Here is a 23,454-nt window from a genome sequence, read left to right as displayed (position 1 = left end):
AAATACTAGAAATGTGATTGCGGTGGAACAGGCAAACTGAGCATATTCCAGATAACCACTTACCTGGGAGTATTAATAACCCACACGTTGATTAAGCCAGGCCTTTCATAATGTGGTCCAGAGAGGAATGCCCTTGGTTCTTTTTAGAAATGCCGATTCCTGGCCAGGCGCGGTGGCTCACGCCTGTACTCCCAGCACTTTGGGAGGCCAAGGCAGGCGGATCACCAGGTCAGGAGATCAAGACCATCCTGGCTAACACGGTGAAACCCCGTCTCTACTAAAAATACAAAAAATTAGCCGGGCGTGGTGGCGGGCGCCTGTAATCCCAGCTACTTGGGAGGCTGAGGCAGGAGAATGGCGTGAACCTGGGAGGTGGAGCTTGCAGTGAGTCGAGATCGTGCCACTGCACTCCAGCCTGGGGGACAGAGCAAGACTCTGTCTCAAAAAATAAAAATAAAAATAAATAGAAATGCCGATTCCTAAATATCTGAGGGTGACTCTTATATCCATGAAATGTCAGATTTATTTAGACTGAAATTTAGGATCTATGGATTAGGAAGTAAGAGTCTGTTGATAGGGAAAGCACAGGACACTGGAGAAAGATTTGTTTTCACTCGAGAAAAATGCATACTACAGTCTATTAATTTCCAGATTAAAATCTCACCTACACGTATCATTATATCTTTTATTCTATTCTATTGTCCCCAACAACTCTGTGGGTTGTGAAACTGTGTGGAGGACATACGAGGATATCTAAAACTGGTGACAAATAAATCATAAGTAGAAAAGCCTGCAATGAGGAAAATGCTACCATAATACAGAGAAAAATCTCTCTCCAGGACATTCACCACAAATCTTTATTCCTGAAAATGTTTCAAGGTTAATTGTTTTAAAAATGTTACCATGAAGTTCCTCTTCCTACTAGCTAAAATGGGTAGGGTGACAGTGGGGTGAAATGGGAATTCAATTCACAAACAAAAATAATATCATCCATATGATTCTCCAATCAGTAGCCTCTAATAAATGAAAATTTACTTTCAAGTTTTTCAGTTAGAGATTGAAATACAAAACAAATTCACTTTCACTATAAATATATGTTAGAAAAGCATCTTTATCAATGAGACTTAGGTATAAGATTGCTCTGATTTTAATTTATTCCAGTATACCTTTCCACATTTAGAACAGTTGTTTCACTGGAGTAGAGATTGCTGGCTAGATGACAATTCAAAAAGTTAAGATGGGGTAAATTTAAGAGAATCAAAATCACAGAGCATATCTTCAGACATAATGGAATTAAACCAGTAACAGAAAAATATGGGAAAGTCTCCAAACACAAGTTAAACAATATACTTGCAAGTAACCCATGGGTGAACGAGGAAATCTCAAAAGACGTTATAAAATATTTTGAAGTGTACCAAAATTAAAATGCACTACAGCTAAAGCAGTGCTTTGAAAGAAATTTATAGCATTAAGGGCTTATATTAGAGAAGAAAAAAGTCTCAAAGAAATAACATAGTTTACCATCCTTAGAAATTAGGAAAAGTAGGGAGGAGCCAAGATGGCCGAATAGGAACAGCTCCAGTCTACAGCTCCCAGCGTGAGCGACGCAGAAGACCGGTGATTTCTGCATTTCCATCTGAGGTACCGGGTTCATCTCACTAGGGAGTGCCAGACAGTGGGCGCAGGTCAGTGGGTGCAGCGCACCTTGCCCGAGCCAAAGCAGGGCGAGGCATTGCCTCACTCGGGAAGTGCAAGGGGTCAGGGAGTTCCCTTTCCTAGTCAAAGAAAGGAGTGACAGACGGCACCTGGAAAATCGGATCACTCCCACCCGAATACTGTGCTTTTCCGACGGGCTTAAAAAATGACGCACCTGGCTCGGAGGGTCGTACGCCCACGGAGTCTCGCTGATTGCTAGCACAGCAGTCTGAGATCAAACTGCAAGGCGGCAGCCAGGCTGGGGGAGGGGCGCCCGCCATTGCCCAGGCTTGCTTAGGTAAACAAAGCAGCTGGGAAGCTCCAACTGGGTGGAGCCCACCACAGCTCAAGGAGGCCTGCCTGCCTCTGTAGGCTCCACCTCTGCGGGCAGGGCACAGACAAACAAAAAGACAGCAGTAACCTCTGCAGACTTAAATGTCCCTGTCTGACAGCTCTGAACAGAGCAGTGGTTCTCCCAGCATGCAGCTGTAGATCTGAGAACGGGCAGACTGCCTCCTCAAGTGGGTCCCTGACCCCTGACCCCCGAGCAGCCTAACTGGGAGGCACCCCCCAGCAGGGGCACACTGACACCTCACACGGCAGGGTACTCCAACAGACCTGCAGCTGAGGGTCCTGTCTGTTAGAAGGAAAACTAACAAACAGAAAGGACATCCACACCAAAAACCCATCTGTACATCACCATCATCAAAGACCAAAAGTAGATAAAACCACAAAGATGGGGAAAAAAACAGAGCAGAAAAACTGGAAACTCTAAAAAGCAGAGCACCTCTCCTCCTCCAAAGGATCTCAGTTCCTCACCAGCAATGGAACAAAGCTGTACGGAGAATGACTTTGACGAGTTGAGAGAAGAAGGCTTCAGACGATCAAACTACGAGCTACAGGAGGAAATTCAAACCAAAGGCAAAGAAGTTAAAAACTTTGAAAAAAATTTAGACGAATGTATAACTGGAATAACCAATAGAGAGAAGTGCTTAAAGGAGCTGATGGAGCTGAAAGCCAAGGCACGAGAACTACGTGAAGAATGCAGAAGCCTCAGGAGCCGATGCGATCAACTGGAAGAAAGGGTATCAGCGATGGAAGATGAAATGAATGAAATGAAGCGAGAAGGGAAGTGTAGAGAAAAAAGAATAAAAAGAAATGAACAAAGCCTCCAAGAAATATGGGACTATGTGAAAAGACCAAATCTACGTCTGATTGGTGTACCTGAAAGTGACAGGGGGAATGGAACCAAGTTGGAAAACACTCTGCAGGATATTATCCAGGAGAACTTCCCCAATCTAGCAAGGCAGGCCAACATTCAGATTCAGGAAATACAGAGAACGCCACAAAGATACTCCTCGAGAAGAGCAACTCCAAGACACATATTTGTCAGATTCACCAAAGTGGAAATGAAGGAAAAAATGTTAAGGGCAGCCAGAGAGAAAGGTCGGGTTACCCACAAAGGGAAGCCCATCAGACTAACAGCAGATCTCTTGGCAGAAACTCTACAAGCCAGAAGAGAGTGGGGGCCAATATTCAACATTCTTAAAGAAAAGAATTTTCAACCCAGAATTTCATATCCAGCCAAACTAAGCTTCATAAGTGAAGGAGAAATAAAATACTTTACAGACAAGCAAATGCTGAGAGATTTTGTCACCACCAGGACTGCCCTAAAAGAGCTCCTGAAGGAAGCGCTAAACATGGAAAGGAACAACCGGTACCAGCCACTGCAAAATCATGCCAAAATGTAAAGACCATCGAGACTAGGAAGAAACTGCATCAACTAATGAGCAAAATAACCAGCTAACATCATAATTTCAGGTTCAAATTCACACATAACAATATTAACTTTAAATGTAAATGGACTAAATCCTCCAATTAAAAGACACAGACTGGCAAATTGGATAAAGAGTCAAGACCCATCAGTGTGTTGTATTCAGGAAACTCATCTCACATGCAGAGACACACATAGGCTCAAAATAAAAGGATGGAGGAAGATCTACCAAGCAAATGGAAAACAAAAAAAGGCAGGGGTTGCAATACTAGTCTCTGATAAAACAGACTTTAAACCAACAAAGATCAAAAGAGACAAAGAAGGCCATTACATAATGGTAAAGGGATCAATTCAACAAGAAGAGCTAACTATCCTAAATATATATGCACCCAATACAGGAGCACCCAGATTCATAAAGCAAGTCCTGAGTGACCTACAAAGAGACTTAGACTCCCACACATTAATAATGGGAGACTTTAACACCCCACTGTCAACATTAGACAGATCAACGAGACAGAAAGTCAACAAGGATACCCAGGAATTGAACTCAGCTCTGCACCAAGAGGACCTAATAGACATCTACAGAACTCTCCACCCCAAATCAACAGAATATACATTTTTTTCAGCACCACACCACACCTATTCCAAAATTGACCACATACTTGGAAGTAAAGCTCTCCTCAGCAAATGTAAAAGAACAGAAATTATAAAAAACTATCTCTCAGACCACAGTGCAATCAAACTAGAACTCAGGATTAAGAATCTCACTCAAAACCACTCAACTACATGGAAACTGAACAACCTGCTCCTGAATGACTACTGGGTACATAACGAAATGAAGGTAGAAATAAAGATGGTCTTTGAAACCAATGAGAACAAAGACAAAACCTACCAGAATCTCTGGGATACATTCAAAGCAGTGTGTAGAGGGAAATTTACAGCACTAAATGCCCAAAAGAGAAAGCAGGAAAGATCTAAAACTGACACCCTAACATCACAATTAAAAGAACTAGAGAAGCAAGAGCAAATACATTCAAAAGCTAGCAGAAGACAAGAAATAACTAAGATCACAGAAGAACTGAAGGAAATAGAGACACAAAAAAATCCTTCAAAAAATCAATGAATCCAGGAGCTCGTTTTTTGAAAAGATCAACAAAATTGATAGACCACTAGCAAGACTAATAAAAAAGAAAAGAGAGAAGAATCAAATAGACTCAATAAAAAATGATAAAGGGGATATCACCATCGATCCCACAGAAATACAAACTACCATCAGAGAATACTATAAACACCTCTACGCAAATCAATAAATGTAATCCAGCATATAAACAGAACCAACGACAAAAACCACATGATTATCTCAATAGATGCAGAAAAGGCCTTTGACAAAATTCAACAACCCTTCATGCTAAAAACTCTCAATAAATTAGGTATTGATGGGACGTATCTCCAAATAATAAGAGCTATCTATGACAAACCCACAGCCAATATCATACTGAATGGGCAAAAACTGGAAGCATTCCCTTTGAAAACTGGCACAAGACAGGGATGCCCTCTCTCACCACTCCTATTCAACATAGTGTTGGAAGTTCTAGCCAGGGCAATTAGGCAGGAGAAAGAAATAAAGGGTATTCAATTAGGAAAAGAGGAAGTCAAATTGTCCCTGTTTGCAGACGACATGATTGTATATCCAGAAAACCCCATCATCTCAGCCCAAAATCTCCTTAAGCTGATAAGCAACTTCAGCAAAGTCTCAGGATACAAAATCAATGTACAAAAATCACAAGCATTCCTATACACCAATAACAGACAAACAGAGAGCCAAATCATGAGTGAATTCCCATTCACAATTGCTACCAAGAGAATAAAATGCCTATGAATCCAACTTACAAGGGATGTGAAGGAGTTCTTCAAGGAGAACTACAAACCACTGCTCAGTGAAATAAAAGAGGATACAAACAAATGGAAGAACATCCCACGCTCACGGATAGGAAGAATCAATATTGTGAAAATGGCCATACTGCCCAAGGTAATTTATAGATTCAATGCCATCCCCATCAAACTACCAATGACTTGCTTCACAGAATTGGAAAAAACTACTTTAAAGTTCATATGGAACCAAAACAGAACCCACATCACCAAGTCAATCCTAAGCCAAAAGAACAAAGCTGGAGGCATCATGCTACCTAACTTCAAACTATACTACAAGGCTACAGTAACCAAAACAGCATGGTACTGGTACCAAAACAGAGATATAGATCAATGGAACAGAACAGAGCCCTCAGAAATAACACCGCTTATCTACAACTATCTGATCTTTGACAAACCTGAGAAAAACAAGCAATTATTAAATAGGGAAAGGATTCCCTATTTAATAAATGGTGCTGGGAAAACTGGCTAGCCATATGTAGAAAGCTGAAACTGGATCCCTTCCTTACACCTTATACAAAAATTAATTCAAGATGGATTAAAGACTTAAACGTTAGACCTAAAACCATAAAAACCCTAGAAGAAAACCTAGGCATTACCATTCAGGACATAGGCATGGGCAAGGACTTCATGTCTAAAACACCAAAAGCAATGGCAACAGAAGCCAAAGTTGACAAATGGGATCCAATTAAACTAAAGAGCTTCTGCACAGCAAAAGAAACTACCATCAGAGTGAACAGGCAACCCACAAAATGGGAGAAAATTTTCACAACCTACTCATCTGACAAAGGGCTAATATCCAGAATCTACAATGAACTCAAACAAATTTACAAGAAAAAAACAAACAACCCCATCAAAAAGTGGGCAAAGGACATGAACAGACACTTCTCAAAAGAAGACATTTATGCAGCCAAAAAACACATGAAAAAATGCTCACCATCACTGGCCATCAGAGAAATGCAAATCAAAACCACAATGAGATATCATCTCACACCAGTTAGAATGGCAATTATTAAAAAGTCAGGAAACAACAGGTGCTGGAGAGGATGTGGAGAAATAGGAACACTTTTACACTGTTGGTGGGACTGTAAACTAGTTCAACCATTGTGGAAGTCAGTGTGGCGATTCCTCAGGGATCTAGAACTAGAAATACCATTTGACCCAGCCATCCCATTACTGGGTATATACCCAAAGGACTATAAATCATGCTGCTATAAAGACACATGCACACGTATGTTTATTGCGGCACTATTCACAATAGCAAAGACTTGGAACCAACCCAAATGTCCAACAATGATAGACTGGATTAAGAAAATGTGGCACATATACACCATGGAATACTATGCAGCCATAAAAAATGATGAGTTAATGTCCTTTGTAGGGACATGGATGAAATTGGAAATCACCATTCTCAGTAAACTATCGCAAGAACAAAAAACCAAACACTGCATATTCTCATTCATAGGTGGGAATTGAACAATGAGAACACATGGACACAGGAAGGGGAACATCACACTCTGGGGACTGTTGTGGGGTGGGGGGAGTGGGGAGGGATAGCATTGGGAGATATACCTAATGCTAGATGACGAGTTAGTGGGTGCAGTGCACCAGCATGTCACATGTATACATATGTAACTAACCTGCACATTGTGTACATGTACCCTAAAACTTAAAGTATAATAATAAAAAAATAAATAAATACATAAATAAAGAAATTAGAAAAAGTAGACCAAAATAAACCCAATTAAGCAGAAGGAAGAAAATAATGAGCTGAAAATTTAAAAATAAAAACAGAAGAACAATAGGAAAATAAAACCAATAGCTGATTCTTTGAAAATATCAATAAAATTGATAAACCTCTAACAGGATGACAAAGGAAAAAAAGGACTCAAATTATGCGTATGGGAAATGAAAGAGGAGATATCACTACAAACCCAGCAAATGGTAAAAATGAATAAATAAATAAAAGAACACTATGAACAACTCTGCATACATACATTTGAAAACCAAGATGAAGGGGACTGCTTCCCCCAAATCCACAAACTACCAAAACTCACCCTAAATGAAATGTGTAATCCAAATATCTCTATAATTATTAAAGAAATTTATTTTAGAGTTAAGAAACAAATTCTTAAAAAAAAATTTCCAGGTTCAGGTGATTTCACTGGTGAATTCTACCAAACATTAAAATGAGAAATAATTCAAAGTTTGCATAGAATAGAATTTTCACAGAATATAAAAGGAAGAGACACTTCTCATTCGTTTTATGAGACTATTATCCTCATACAACACCAAAGACATTAAAAGAAAACTAAAAACCAATATCTCTCTCAAAAACAACAATACAAAAATACTTTTAAAAAAGAGCAAATTGAATCCAGCAACATATAAACAGAATAATATACCACAAACAAGTGGGATTTGTTCAGAGAATGCAACACTTGTTCAATGTTTGGGAATCAATCAATGCAATCCACCATATTAGCAATTGAAAGAAGAACACCCACATGATCATATCAATGCAGAAAAGCATGTGAAAAAATTCTATTTACAGCAAACTAGAAATAGAAGTAAACTTCCTCCAGCTGATAAAGGGCATCTATAAAGAAAAGAAAGAGAGAAAGAAAGAAAGAATGAAAGAAAGAAAGAAAGAAAGAAAGAAAGAAAGAAAGAAAGAAAGAAAAGAAAGAAAGAAAGAGAGAAAGAAACCCTACAACTAACATCAAAATGTGTAAAGGCTGAATGCTTTCTACTTAAGATCAAGGGAAAGGCAAGGATGTCCACTCTCACCACCTCTATTTTTCACAATAGGGTGAGAAAAAAAAAAAAAAAAGGCAAATGGTCTGGAAAGAATGTTAAACTAGCCCTATCTGAGGATAATATGATTTATTTTATGCAGAAAATTCCAAGAAATCTGACCAAAAAAACCTTCTGGAACTAATAAGTAAATTTTGAAAGGTCATGGAAATCAAGGTCAGCAAATAAAAATAAGTCACATTTCTATAAACAAGCAAAGTAAAATGAAAAACTGAAATTTAAAAATAATACCATTTACAAAAGCTTCAAAAAACAAAACACTTAGGTGTGTATCTATCAAAACATTCACAAGATCTGTGTACTAAAAGCTATAAAACACTGCTAAAAGAAATTAAAGAAGTTATAAATAAATATATGATGGATTAGAAAACAGCATAATGAAAATATCAATTCTCCCCAAATAATATATAGATTTAATGCAATAATGATCAAAATCCCAAAAGGATTTTTTTGTATATTTATGCAATGTTCTAAAATTTATGCAGAAATGTGAAGTAAAAAGAATAGCTAAAACAATTTTGAAAAAAAAAGTTGAAAGGAATCATACTACCCAATTTTCACCCTTACTATAAAGTTACAATAATCAAGGTAGTACTGTATGGGCAAAATGATAGACATAGATCCATGGAACAGAATAGAGAAGCCAGAAATAGACTTGCACAAATGTGCCCAACTGATTTTTGACAACTGTGCAAAGGAATTCAATGAAGGAAGTATAATCTTTTCAGCAAAGGGTGTTAGAACAATTGAATGTCCATAGGAAAAAATATTAACCTCTTCTGCATCTGTTGAGATAATCATGTGGTTTTTGTTTTTAGTTCTGTTTATGTGATGAATCACATATATTGATTTGCACATGTTGAACCAACCTTGCATCCTAAGGATAAAGCCTACTTGATAGCGGTGGATTAGTTTTTCAATGTGCTGTTGGATTCAGTTTGCTAGTATTTTGTTGAGGATTTTTGCATCTGTGTTCATCAAGGATATTATCCTGAAGTTTGTTGTTGTTGTTGTTGTGTCTCTGCCAGATTTTGGCATCATAATTTTGCTGGCCTCATAGAATGAGTTAGGGAGGAGCCCCTCCTCCTCAATTTCTTGGAATAGTTTCAGTAGGGTACCAGCTCTTCTTTATACATCTGGTAGAATTTGGCTGTGAATCCATCTGGTCCTGGGCTTTCTTTGATTGGTTGGCTTTTTAGTACAGATTCAATTTTGGAACTCGTTTATTAGTCTTTTCAGGGATTCAATTTCTTCCTGGTTCAGTCTTTGAAAGTTATATGTGTCTGGGAATTTATTCATTTTTTTCTATATTTTCTAGTTTGTGTGCATAGAGGTATTCACAGTAATCCCTGATGGTTTTTTGTATTTCTGTGGGCTCAGTGGTAATGTCCTCTTTCTCATTTCTAATTGTGTTTATTTGGCTTTTCATTCTTTTCTATTAGTATTGCTAGCAGTCTGTCTATCTTATTAATTTGAAAACAACAACAACTGCTGGATTTGTTGACCGTCTGTATGGTTTCTCATGCTCAAGTTTGTTCATTTCAGTTCTGATCCTGGTTATTTCTCATCTTCTGCTAGCTTTGGGGTTGGTTTGCTCTTGCTTATATAATACTTCTAGTTATGATGTTAGGTTGTTATTTTGAGATCTTTCTAACTGTTTGATGTGGGCATTTAACACTATAAACTTCCCTCTTAACAGTCTTAGCTGTGTTCCAGAGATACTGGTGTGTCGTGTCTTTGGTCTCATTAGTTTCAAAGAATTTCCTGATTTCTGCCTTAATTTCATTATTTACCCAAAAGTCATTTAGGAGTAGGTTGTGTAATTTCCACGTAATTATATGGTTTTGAGCAATTTTTTTGTACTGTGGTCCGAGAACGTGGTTGTTACTATTTTAGCTTTTTTTTTGAAAGGCTTTCCATAAAATACAACATATTTTCATGTTAAAAAACCCTCAACAAACTAGACATTGAAGGAACATATTTCAAAATAATACAAGCTATCTATGACAAACCGACAGCCAACATCTTACTGAATGGGCAAAAGCTGGAAACATTCTCCTTGAAAACTGGCACAAAACAAGGATGTTCTCTCTCACCACACCTATTCAACATAGTACTGGGATTCCTGGCCAGAGCGATCAGGCAAGAGAAATAAATAAAAGGCATCCAAATAGGAAAAGAGGAAGTCGAACTATCCCTGTTTGCAGATGACATGATTCTATATCTCTGGCCCAAAGCCCCTTGATTTAATAAACAATTTAAGCAAAGTTTCAGGGTGCAAAATCAATATGCAAAAATCAGTAGCATTCTTATACAACAACAGCATCTAAGCCAAGAACCAAATCAGAAATGCAATCCCATTCACAATTGCCACAAAAAGAATAACATTCCTAGGAATACAGCTAACCAGGGAAATGAAAGATCTCTACAACAAGAATTACAAAACACCGATGAAAGAAAACAGAGGTCATACAAACAAGTGGAAAAACATTCCATGCCCATGTATAGGAAGAATCAATATCATTAAAATGGCCATACTGCCAAAAGCAATTTACAGATTCATTGCTATTGCTATCAAACTGCCAATGACATTCTTCACAGAACTAGAGAAAACTATTTTAAAATTCATATGGAACCCAAAAAGAGTCTGAATAGCCAAGGCAATTCTAAGCAAAAAGAACAAAGCTGGAGGCATCACATTATCTGACTTCAAACTACCTTATAGGGCTACAGTAACCAAAACAGAATGGTACTGGTATAAATACAAAAATATAGACCAATGGAACAGAACAGAGAGCCCAGAAATAAGGCCACACACCTAAAACCACCTGATCTTCAACAAAGCTGATAAAACAAGCAATGAGGAAAAGAGTCTCCATTCAATAAATGGTGCTGAGATAACAGGCTAGCTATAGGCAGATGATTGAAACTAGATTCCTACCTTACACCACATATAAAAATCAACTCAAGATAAATTAAAGACTTAAATGTAAAACCTAAAACTATAAAACCCTGGAAGATAACCTAGGCAATACCATTTTGGACATAAAACTCGCCAAGAATTTTATGATGCAACCCCAAAAAGCAATTGTAACAAAAGCAAAAATTGAAAAAAGGGATCTAATTAAACTTAGGAGCTTCCACACAGCAAAAGAAACTATCAGCAAAGGAAAGAGACAACATACTGAATGGGAGAGACTATTTGCAAACTATACATACAACAAAGGTCAATATCCAGATCTATAAGGGACTTAAATAAATTTATAAGCAATAAACAAACAACTCCATTAATAAGAAGGCAAAGGACATGAACAGACATTTTTCAAAAGACATATATGTGGCCAAAAAGCATTTGAAAAAATGCTTAATTAACACCACTAATCATTAGAGAAATGCAAATCAAAACCACAATGAGATACTATCTTACAATAGTCAGAATGGCAATTGTTAAAAAGTCTAAAAACAGATGCTGGAGAGGTTGTGGAGAAAAGGGAACATTTATACATTGTTGGTGAGAGTATAAATTAATTCAGCCATTGTGGAAAGCAGTGTGGCAATTCTCAAAGAACTTTAAACAGAATTGCCATTTAACCCAACAATCCCATTACTGGGTATATACCCAAAGGAATATAAATCATCCTACCATGAAGACACATACAAATATATGTTCGTTGCAGTACTATTCACAATAGCAAAGACATGGTGGAGTCAACCTGAATGCCCATCAATGGCAGGTTGGATAAAGAAAATGTGGTACATATATATCATGGAATATGATGCAGCCATAGAAACAAATGAGGTCATGTCCTTTGTAGCAACATGGGTGTAGCTGAAGGCCATTATTCTAAGTCAACTAACACTGGAACAGAAAACCAAATACTGCATTTTCTCACCTATTAGTGGGATCTAAATAATGAGAACACATGGACACTAGGAGGAGAACAACAGATACTCGGGCCTACTTGAGGGTGGAGGGTGGGAAGAGGGAGATCAGGAAAATTATCTATCAAAGTTCTATGCTTATTACCCAGGTGACAAAATTATCTGTACACCACAACCCCATGACATGCAGTTTACCGATATAACAAATGTACACATGTAAGCTTGAACCTAAAATAAAAGTTAAAAGAAATTAACCTCAACCTAAACTTTACATCTTTTATAAAATAAATATATAGAGGCCAGGAATAGTGACTCACACCTGTAATCCCAGCACTTAGGGAGGCTGAGGTGGGAGAATTGCATGAGACCAAGAGTTCAAAACTAGCCTGGTCAACATAGCAAGACCCTGTCTCCAAAAAAATAAAAATGAAAAAAATTAGCAGGGTGTAGTGTCATGTACCTGTAGTCTCAGCTACTCGGGAGGTTGGAGAGAAGGATTGCTTGAGCCCAGGAGTTCCAGGCTGCAGTGAGCCATGATCACACCACTGCACTCCAGCCTGGGTGACAGAGTAAGACCTTGTCTTAAAGAAAAAATTAACCTAAAAATGAAACATGGATCTAAATGGAAAAGTATAAAAATTTTAGAATAAAAAGAGAAGGCTGCATGCGGCGGCTGACGCCTGTAATCCCAGCATTTTGGGAGGCTGAAGAGGGTGGAACACCTGAGGTCAGGAGTTGGAGACCAGCCTGGCCAACATGGTGAAACCCTGTATCTACTAAAAGTGCAAAAAACAAACAAACAAAAAAAGCTGGGCATAGTGGCAGGCACCTGTAATCTCAGCTACTTGGGAGGCTAGGGCAGTAGACTCACTGGAACCCCGGAGGCAGAGATTGCAGTGAGCCGAGATCGCGCCGTTGCACTCCAGCCTGGGTGACAGAGGGAGACTCCATCTCAAAAAAAAAAAAGAGAGAGAGAGAGAGAGAGGAAATCCATGTGATCTTGGATTTGGCAATGAGTTCTTGAACATGACACCAAAACCATAAGCCATAAAAACAAAAACATCAATAAATTGGACATAAAAATTAAAAATGTTTGCTCTGCAAAAGACACTGTTCAGAAAATAAAACACTGGGTGAAAATATTCACAAATTCTATATTCAACAAAAGATTTATGTCCATGATATATGAATTCTCAAAGCCAACAAATAAACAAGACCATTTTTTACACAAAGCAAAATCTATCAACAGACACTTCCAACAAAGAGTATGTCAGAATGTTGAAAAGATGTTCAACATCATTATCCATCAGGGAAATACTGATTAAAATCACAAGGAGATACCATTACACACCCATTAGGTGTAAAATATACTGAAAATACCAAGTTTTGGAGAGGATGTGGAGCAATTGGAACTCTAATGCATTGATTAGGGAAATGCAAAATGATACAGCCACTGTGGAAAATTGGTTGTCAGTTTCTTATAAATTTCAAGATATGCATGCTTTTTGATCCCACAATACCACTACTGAATATTTGCCCTAATGAAATGAAAACTTACATCCACACAAAAATCTGTACACAAGTTTATGGTAGTTCTATTCACAGTTGTCAAAAATGAGAAACACTCTAGATGTCCTTCAAACAAACAAACTGCAGGAAATTCATACAATAAACTACTATTGAGCAATAAAAAGAATGAAATTTTGATAAATGAAACAAGTTAAATCACAAAAGCATTATGCTGAGTAAACAAAGCCAACCTCAGAAAGGTTACATTTTGTATGATTCTATTTACAGTTGAACCTCATTATTCATGAATTCTAAATATACACATTCACCTACACACTAAAAATATTTGTAACTCCAAAATGTATACTTGGGACATTTTCATGGTCATTTGAAGACATGTGCAGAGAGCACATTCCCAGCTGAGGTAGAATAAGACAATACTCTGCTTTCTAGTTTCAGGTCTCATCCTAAAGAAGTGCCCTTTTCAAAGTATATAATTTTGCATTTTTGTGCATTCTGTTGGTGATTTTGCTGTTTAAATTGGCCCCCAAGCATAGTGTTGAAATGTCTAGTGTTCCTAAGTGCAAGAAGGCTGTGATGTGCCTTACAGAGAAAACATGTGTGTTAGATAAGCTTTCATTCAGGCATGAGTTACAGTGCTACTGGCTTGAGTTCAATGTTAATGAATCAACAATCTACAGTAGACCCTTTGTATCTGTGGGTTCCACATCTATTGATTGAACTAACCAATGATCAAAAATATTTGGGAAAAAAATTGCATCTGTATTGAACATATAAAGACTTCTTTGGTCATTATTCCCTAAACAACAGAAAATAACAAGTATTTAATAGCATTGATATTATATTAGGAATTGTAAGTAACCTAGAAATGACTTAAACCATACAGGAGGATGTGCAGTAGGTTTTATGCAAGTGCTACATCATTTTATAGTAGAGACTTAGGCATTCACAGATTTTGGTGTCCATGGGAGGTACTGAAATGAATCCCTCAAAGATACTGAGGGACGACAGTATACTGAATGAGATATCTAAACAGAAACACATATAAAACAAGATTATGTATTGATAAGTTGATGAAGATGTTGTGATCAGAGGTTCACTGTTTAGCCCCAAGTCAATAGTTTGGTATTTGCTAATTCAGTGTTCATAGCAACTTCATAGAAGATAGCAACTGAGAATCAACTGTATATGATATTCCAAAAAGGCCAAACTATAGGGATGGAAAATAGATCAGTGGTTTCGTGGAAGTGTGGAAGGGGAGTGTGAAACAGGTGTGATAACAAAGGAATGGCACAAGGGATATCCTGGTGGTGAGAGAAATGTTCTGTGTCTTCATTACGGTGGTGAATACAAAAATGTATACATATGTTAGAATTTAGGGACTTGCATATTAAAAGAGAAAAAGTCATTTTACTATATGACAATTTAAAAATAAAATTTTTGAAAGCTCAGCAAGGCCACGTTATTGCGAAGGTCTTCCCTGCCCTGATTATAATATACAACACTTACATTCTGTGTTTCTCCTTATACTGATCAAGTAATAATTGATGACTTCTATACCTTTGAATGATTATGAATTTGAACTCACATAGCTACAATCTATAGATTCAAACATTTGGAACATTTCACTTTGCTGAGTCTTCATACAATTTGTATTCTTCAAAATCAACATACAAGAATCACTAATATTCCTATGCAACAACATCCAAGGTGAGAACCAAATCTGGAATGTAATTCCAATCACAACTGCCACAAAAAGAATAAAATTCCTAGGTATACAGCTAACCAGGGAAGTGAAAGATCTCTACAAAACAAACCCTGATGAAAGAAATCAGAGGTCATACAAACAAGCAGAAAAACATCCATGCTCATGGATAGGAAAAAGCAATATCATTAAAATGGCCATACTGCCAAAAGCAATTTACAGATTCAATGCTATTCCTATCAAACTACCAATGACATTCTTCACAGAACTAGAGAAAACTATTTTAAAATTCATATGGAACCCAAAAAGAGTCTGAATAGCCAAGGCAATTCTAAGCAAAAAGAACAAAGCTGGAGGCATCACATTATCTGACTTCAAACTATATTATAGGGATACAGTAACCAAAACAGTATGGTTCTAGTATAAAAACAGAAACATAAACCAATGGAACACAATAGAGAGCACAGAAACATGTTGCACACTTAAAACCATCTGATCTTTGACAAAGCAGAAAAAAACAAGCAATAGGGAAAGGATTCTCCATTCAATAAATGGTGCTGGGAAAACTGGCTACCCATATGCAGAAGATTAAAATGGACTTCTTCCTTAAACCATGCACAAAAATCAACTTGGATTAAATACTTAAATGTAAAACTTAAAGCTATAAAAACCCTGGAAAACAAGCTAGGCAATAACATTCTGGACATCAAACTTGCCAAGAATTTTATGATGAAGACCCCAAAAGCAATTGCAACAAAGGCAAAAATTGAAAAACGGGATCTAATTAAACTTAAGAGCTTCTACACAGCAAAAGAAACTATCAACAAAGTAAACAGACAACCTACAGAATGGTAGAAACTACTTGTAAACTATGCATCAAACAAAGATCTAATATCTAAGGCTGGGCACAGTGGCTCACGCCTGTAATCCCAGCACTTTGGGAGGCAGAGGCAGTTGGATCACTTGAATTCAGGAGTTTGAGACCAGCCTCGCCAACATGATGAAATCCCATCTCTACTAAAAATACAAAAATTAGCCAGGTGTGTGGTGCATGCCTGTAGTCCCAGCTACTCTGGAGGCTGAGGCAGGAGAATTTCTTGAGCCAGGGAGGTGGAGGTTGCAGAGAGCCAAGATTGTGCCACTGCCCTCCAGATTGGGTGACAGGGTGAGACTCTATCTAAAAAAAAAAAAAAAAAAAAAAACAAAACTAATATCTAGCATCTATAAGCAAATCAATTTTACAAGCAAAAAACAACCCCATTAAAAAGTCGGCAAAGGACATGAACAGACACTTTTCAAAAGAAGACATACATGTGGCCAACAAGCATATGAAAAAAGCTCAATATCATTGATCACTAGAGAAATGCAAATCAAAACCATAATGAGTTACCATCTCATGCCAGTCAAAACAGCTATTATTAAAAAGTCAAAAAGCAACAGATGCTGAAGAGGTAGTGGAGAAAAGGGAATACTTATACACTGTTGGTGGGAGTGTAAATTAATTCAGCCATTGTGGAAAGCAATGTGATGATCCCTCAAAGAGCTACAAACAGAACTACTATTTGACTCAGCAATCCCATTACTGAGTATATACTTGAAGGAATATAAATCATTCTATCATAAAGACACATGCTTGTGTATGTTTATCGTAACACTATTCACAATAGCAAAGACATAGAATCAATCTAAATGCCCATCAATGGCAGATTGAATAAAGAAAATTTGGTACATATACATCATGCCATACTATGTAGCCATATAAAAGAATGAGACCATGTTCTTTGCAGGACCATGGATGGAATTGGAGGCCATTATCCTTAGCAAACTAATGCAGGAACAGAAAACCAAATACTGCATATTCTCACTTGTAAGTGGGAACTAAATGATAAGAACACATGGACTCTAGGAGGGGAAAAACAGACACTGGGGCCTACCAGAAGATTGTGAGGAGGGAGAGAAGCAGAAAGCATAAACATGTAGTACTAGGCTTAGTACCTGGGTGATAAAATAATCTGTACAACAAATCCCTGTGACATGAGTCTACCTAAATAACAAACCTACACATGTACCCCTGAAAGTAAAATAAAAGTTAAAAAAAATCAATCAAAAAATGGACAAAGGATTTGAATAGACAATTCTCAAAAGAAGACATACAAATGGCAAACAGGCATATGAGAAGATGCTCCACATCACTGATCATCAAAGAAATGCAAATCAAAACTACGATGAGATATCCTCTTACCCGTTAAAACAGCTTTTATCCAAAAGACAGACAATCACAAAGGCTGGCAATGACATCGTTGATCATCAGAGAAATGCAAAGCAAAACTACGATAACCTCTTACCCTAGTTAAAATAGCTTTTATCCAAAAGACAAACAACAACAAAGGCTGGCGATGATATGAAAAGGGAACCCTGGTATCTGCTGGTGAAAATGTAAGTTAGTACAAGCACTATGTAGAACAGTTTGGAGCTTCCTCAAAAAACTAAAAGTAGAGCTACCATATGATCCAGCAATTCTACTTCTGGGTATATACCAAAAAAAAAGAGTGGAAATCAGTTTATCAAAGAGATATCTGCACTCCTATGTTCACTGCAGCACTATTTACAATAGGCAAGATTTGGAAGCAACCTAAGTGTCTATCAACAGATGAATGGATAAAGAAAATTTGGTACTTATACACATGTACTATTCAGCCTTAAAAAGAATGAGATCCTTTCATTTGCAATAACATGGATGGAAGTGGAGGTCATTATGTTAAGTGAAATAAGCCTGGCACAAAAAGACAAACATCGTATATTCTCACTTATTTGTGGGAACTAAAAATCAAAATAATTGAACTCACAGAGATAGAAAGTAGAGGGATGGTTACCAAAGGCTGGGAAGAATATTGGGGGCTCAAGGGGGTGGAAGATAGGGATGATTAATGGGTCCAAAAAATAGTTAGAAAGAATAAGACCTACTATTGATAGCACAACAGGGTGACTATAGTCAATAATAATTTAATTATGCATTATAAAATAACTAAAAGAGTAAAATTGGATTTTTTGTAATACAAAGGATATGCTTCAGGAGATGAATTCCCCATTCTTTATGTGATTATTACACATTGCATGCCTAAATCAAAACATCTCATGTACTGTATAAATACATACACATACTATGTACCCACAAAAAATAAAAATTAAAAAAATTTACAAAATAATAAAAAAATTATCCTTGTTCCTAGGACTCTTCTGAAAACCACATTTACTTGTACTTAAAGTCAACTGTTCTGAAGTGAGCTAAAAAGTTCAACATTCTTCATTCATGTGATGCGAGATTTTCAAAGTAGCAGTAAAGGCCAGTATTTTACCAACTGCCTCCCCACTTGCCCACAACCACCATCACCATCAAAACCTGGAAATGTTAGAAGCATTGAACTGAACTAAGCTACTAGTACTTCATAATTAAAATAAAAATATTAAACCTTACTATCTCATTATTGACCAAATTAGTGAGTATCTTACCTTCCAGAAATAAGATGTCAGGGTTTGCTATGGGTATATAAAATCTGTACATACATACAACAACAGAACTAACTGATGTTTAGAATTTTTTTCACTCTTTGTTAATTTAAAACTATGAAATGTAAGTGTTGGGATATAAACATTTATTTCTATTTTTCATGAACTTAACTTGGTATAGCACATAGATGACATTTTATACACTAAAAACCACCAAAGACAGTAGACATATTTTTATTTAAGATCTTTGGTGATTAGGGAAATGTTTAGAAAAAACAGAGAATTTCTTTTTAGGAGATGCAAAGTGGTTTTAGGCCTATGAGACTGTAAACCCAAAAGAAATCATTCTGCCCTCCAAGGCCAAATGTTGGGAGCTAACATAGTATAAACACACGAAAAGGAAATGGGATTGTTGCACTGATGAAGGAGTAGTTGAGATCAACAGACTCTGGGATATTCTGAGGCTTTCTCCTGGAGAGGTGGGTCAGGACCAACCTGAGCAGAAAACGTTGATAGGATAAACTTCTGTTTTGCTTCCTTTCTCCTTTCTTCATGGAGTTCTGTTTATGTTCTGTGAAGGCAGATAGTTTCTGGGGGAGTTAAGGAAGCTCGATGACAATACGAAACATAAAAAACAAAGATTAAGAGAACATTAATTGGCTTTTTAAAAGTCAGGACCATATGATCCAGCCATTTTATGCCTAGATATTCACCAAGGGAAATGAAAGCATATGTCCACACAAAGACTTGTATACAAATGTTTGTAGCAACTTCAGTCATAATAGCCCTAAATTGTAATGTCCATCAATTGGTGAATGGGTAAACGAATTATGGCATATTCACACTATGGAATATTAGTTAGCCATAAAAGGGATACATTACTGATATATAGTACAGTGTAGATTAATTGCAAAACATTATACTGAATGAAAGAAGCCAGATACAAGAGAGTGTATACTGTATTATTCTATTTAAATATAATTCTACAAGAAGCAAAATTGATCTATAGTGACAGAAAGCAGATTAATGTTGCCTGGGGCAGGGGTGAGGAAGATTATAATGGGACACAAGGGAACCTTTTGGGGTGACGGAAGTGTTCTGTCAATTGTGGTGGTGGATATGCCAATAAATAAATTTGTCAAAACTTATAGAGATTGTTCCACTTAAAATGGGTGCATTTTAATTTATATAATTTATATCTTATTACTGTTTGCTTTTAAAGAAGACAATCTCTTTTCTTTACTTCTTTCTACCAACTATCTGGCTCTGAATTATCCTCCCTCCCTCTCTCTCTCCCTCCCTCCGTCTTGCCCTTCCTTCCTTCCTTCTTTCGTTCCTTCCTTCCTTCCTTCCTTCCTTCCCTATCTCTCTTTTTCTTTCTTTCCTTTATTATTACTATTATTATTTTAAAACTCAAATACTCTTCAAGCTACAGATGGTTCTACTGATCTTGGGATAAGAAGAAAATCAATATCCTCTGGTCAACACCCCAAAATATTAAAAAGGGATTGACAGAATGCTGGAATTATTTGGAATCACGTGTGATAAAAACATATTCAGTCAACTGGTAGAAGGCATAAATCATACCTGTATGGGTATTTCTGAAACAAGTTCAAGCTTAGCGTAAAATATGGTGGACAAACTCTCTAAAGTGGCCCGCCTAGGAGAAGGCAAGGCTTTCAGGCTGTCAAAGAATTCAGGGGGAAGAGAAATGTTTTGGAGGCTAAGATATTGCTGATGGTGACCCAAGCTGACTGAATTACTCTAACGGAAAAGACAAAGATGGCACTTTCTCTTATTGTCAGATTTGGGCTCAATACCAAGATGAAAGAAATTGTTAGGGAGAATTTCTCTTCTGGGACACTATGGTCACAAAACAGGACATTTTAGCTCTTGTTTTACATTATTCTGAGTTTGGAGTCTAATTCCTATATTCACATAAATTTTATTTGGATCAATAAAGAATTCCTTCAAAGAGGAAAATCTCTGCTTGGTTCACTGAGACAATAGTTTTCCTTTAGTTTTTTAATTCATAGAAACCAGGGTTCTTCCTAAGGACAATTTATTAAACAGCTAAAAGTTTAGTCAAGGAAATATCTTGATATCATTTAAAACAAAAATTGAGCTGATATAAACTTTTTTCATTTTCAGTAAATTATATTTGAAGGCACAATCTAAAACCCATTTCTCTGTCTAAAGTTCACTAAGCAAAAAAGAACCAGTAAGATTGTATCAGTGCATCCATGTGGGTACACAAATCAATTTGGCCAGGGCAGACAGGACAGAGTACGAATATGGATAAGATCAGCAGTGTTCTTTTCCAGTTCAGTGGACAAAGCCACATAGTGGTCGAATGGTTTGACCAAACATCTTGTACCATTAGTACAAGTGCAAATGACACACACAAGTGTGCGTGTGTGTGTATGTGTAATGGTTTCCTGTTCCCACAGGTTAATGGCTATATCTTCAACCAATAATCACTGAAAGTTTGAAATGTGACTACACCCCACCAAAACACAGCCAAAAGTTCATTAGTGAAAGAATGTTCTAAAATTAGCTGCACGACATTATTTGCTAGAATGACACTATCTGCCAGATACGTAGAGAAAAATGTCACTTCTGTACAACATTATTTTTAATTATAAAAACAATATATTGACACAAAATATACTTTGAAAGATAAAAGCCTAATGTCATCATCTTAATGGGACTTTTTGTTTTGTGCTTTTCTTTATTATTGGCCCATTAAAAATAAGTATCTATTTACTTTATTGAAGTTTTATGTTACTTACAATTGTGTTTTGAGAAACTATACCAAGAACACTTTGAAGAAACATTTCCCTTTTTTGCTGTTTTTTCTAAATGTCCTAAAATAAAACTATTAAAAATTTCTGCAATAGACCATAACTCACAAGGAAATGAATGTTTTAGTGAAATAACAGGTTTTTTCCTTAGTTCTATAGTACCTTAATTTTGATTCTGAAACTCTAAAAAATACCTACTCTGCTTGCCAGAATGGTTGATGAAATCCTACTGTGCTATAAAAGAATGAATTCTTGGTATCACATGTAGTTCTTTAGCAAACATTCTACTAGCTCACATACTAATGTTATTTAAGGCACACTCTATTAGTAATGTTTTAGTTCAAAACACTGCTTCTAAATGATATGAGTTAAGGGTTATTTCTGCATGTTAAAAAAAAAAAAAAGAAGTATCCTTTCCCTCATCCTCAGGATGGCAGCTGATATTCCCAAGATATCTGTATTTCTTTAATCTTAAGACTTGATCGATATGTAATGCTAATATAACCTTATCAGTTTGTATATGCAAATGAATTTTCAAGAACCCAAAGTTCTTGTCCTTGTCTCTGTCTGCCCAGACCAGAAACTTCCTTTTTTTCAAAATCTCCTCAGAATGTTTCTGGGAATCTCCAAAGGGCTAGACTTTATCTGGCACATGCTGGTCTACCAGTTATTTTTGGCAGGTTTTCAGTCAGATTGGCTATCATGGTATCATGCTGTACAGGTTGTTAAATATTTTACATTGAAACCCCTTATGTGCTGACAAACTAGGCTATGTGCTATGGACAACTATTGGCACCTGTTGCTTCTCCTATCTGCTTTGCAAGGAGAGTGACCTGTCTTATAAATAAGCCACTCTCTAATTTCACTCCTCCCATTGCCAATGGTACTTACTGTGAAAAAGTCTGCCATCTATGCTCCTGAAGCCACCAGTCTCTGATGTGTCATGACAGACTGTGCAAAGAAAAGGAGAATGACTCTTGTCTCCACTCTGGCCACATTTTGTCACCTATAACCTAAAGCAAACTTGCTTCTGCCCAGAGCTTCACGAAGTCCCTCATGAAAGGAATCACACTGTCCTCAGACAATTCCCCAGATAGACCCAAACCCAGCCCATAAGAACAGGGTCAGTCTTAGCTGCTTCACCAGAGTACTCATCACTTCTCCACATTTTGTGAGTTCTGCCCTCAACCATATACTACCCTTTTCAAATAGTCTCAGAAAGAAAGTTCTCGTGAGTATCAGTGAATGCTACCAGATAGGTGGTAGCTTGGGAATAAGTATAGTTCTCATCAGTTGCTACCTGGATCCCAAGTCAAGTCAAAAACATATCCCTTCATACTTATTAAAAGGTATCAGGCCTTGGAAGGATAAATGTACACACTAGTGTATATTAAAAGACTTGCATAAGTGACAAGGGAGAACACAGAGGGGTGGGAAACTGATGAAGACATCTGTAGCACTTATATTGAAATAGCTATTTCTTGGGTATTTATTGAAAGCATTGACTGTTGACAACATAAACTCTTCTATCTCCACTAAGCAATGACTGCCTTCTTAACTCCACAAGAAAAAAAAAATGCATCAGTATCTTTTATTTTTGTTTCAAATGGCAGGAATGTAAGGTATAGGCCTACACCTTCAGATTTACAGCTGCAAGAAAAATCTGGCCTTTAAAGTTTCCAGTTTCAAAACACAGATTCTGTGAAAGAATGAAAACACTGACGGTTAAGCAGCCATGGTCAGGTGAAAACTTTAGTGATATTGGTCAAATTCTATTCCAAAAAGCCTCTTTAAACAATCGGATATGATGC

The 23,454-nt window shown here is 36.9% G+C and overlaps 2 annotated features.

The window, feature by feature from the left end:
• Positions 1,265-1,834: an enhancer, noted in NCBI's record as "H3K27ac-H3K4me1 hESC enhancer chr3:18372491-18373060 (GRCh37/hg19 assembly coordinates)". NCBI's record gives its function as "activates a minimal SCP1, AML or CMV promoter by ChIP-STARR-seq in naive H9 embryonic stem cells {active_cell/tissue: H9 hESC(naive)}" and the evidence as "EXISTENCE:reporter gene assay evidence [ECO:0000049][PMID:30033119]".
• Positions 1,835-2,405: an enhancer, noted in NCBI's record as "H3K27ac-H3K4me1 hESC enhancer chr3:18371920-18372490 (GRCh37/hg19 assembly coordinates)". NCBI's record gives its function as "activates a minimal SCP1, AML or CMV promoter by ChIP-STARR-seq in naive H9 embryonic stem cells {active_cell/tissue: H9 hESC(naive)}" and the evidence as "EXISTENCE:reporter gene assay evidence [ECO:0000049][PMID:30033119]".

This window comes from Homo sapiens, chromosome 3 (assembly GCF_000001405.40).
Source record: "Homo sapiens chromosome 3, GRCh38.p14 Primary Assembly".
NCBI classification, from domain to species: domain Eukaryota; kingdom Metazoa; phylum Chordata; class Mammalia; order Primates; family Hominidae; genus Homo; species Homo sapiens.
This window is presented reverse-complemented; position numbering and strand designations above follow the sequence as displayed.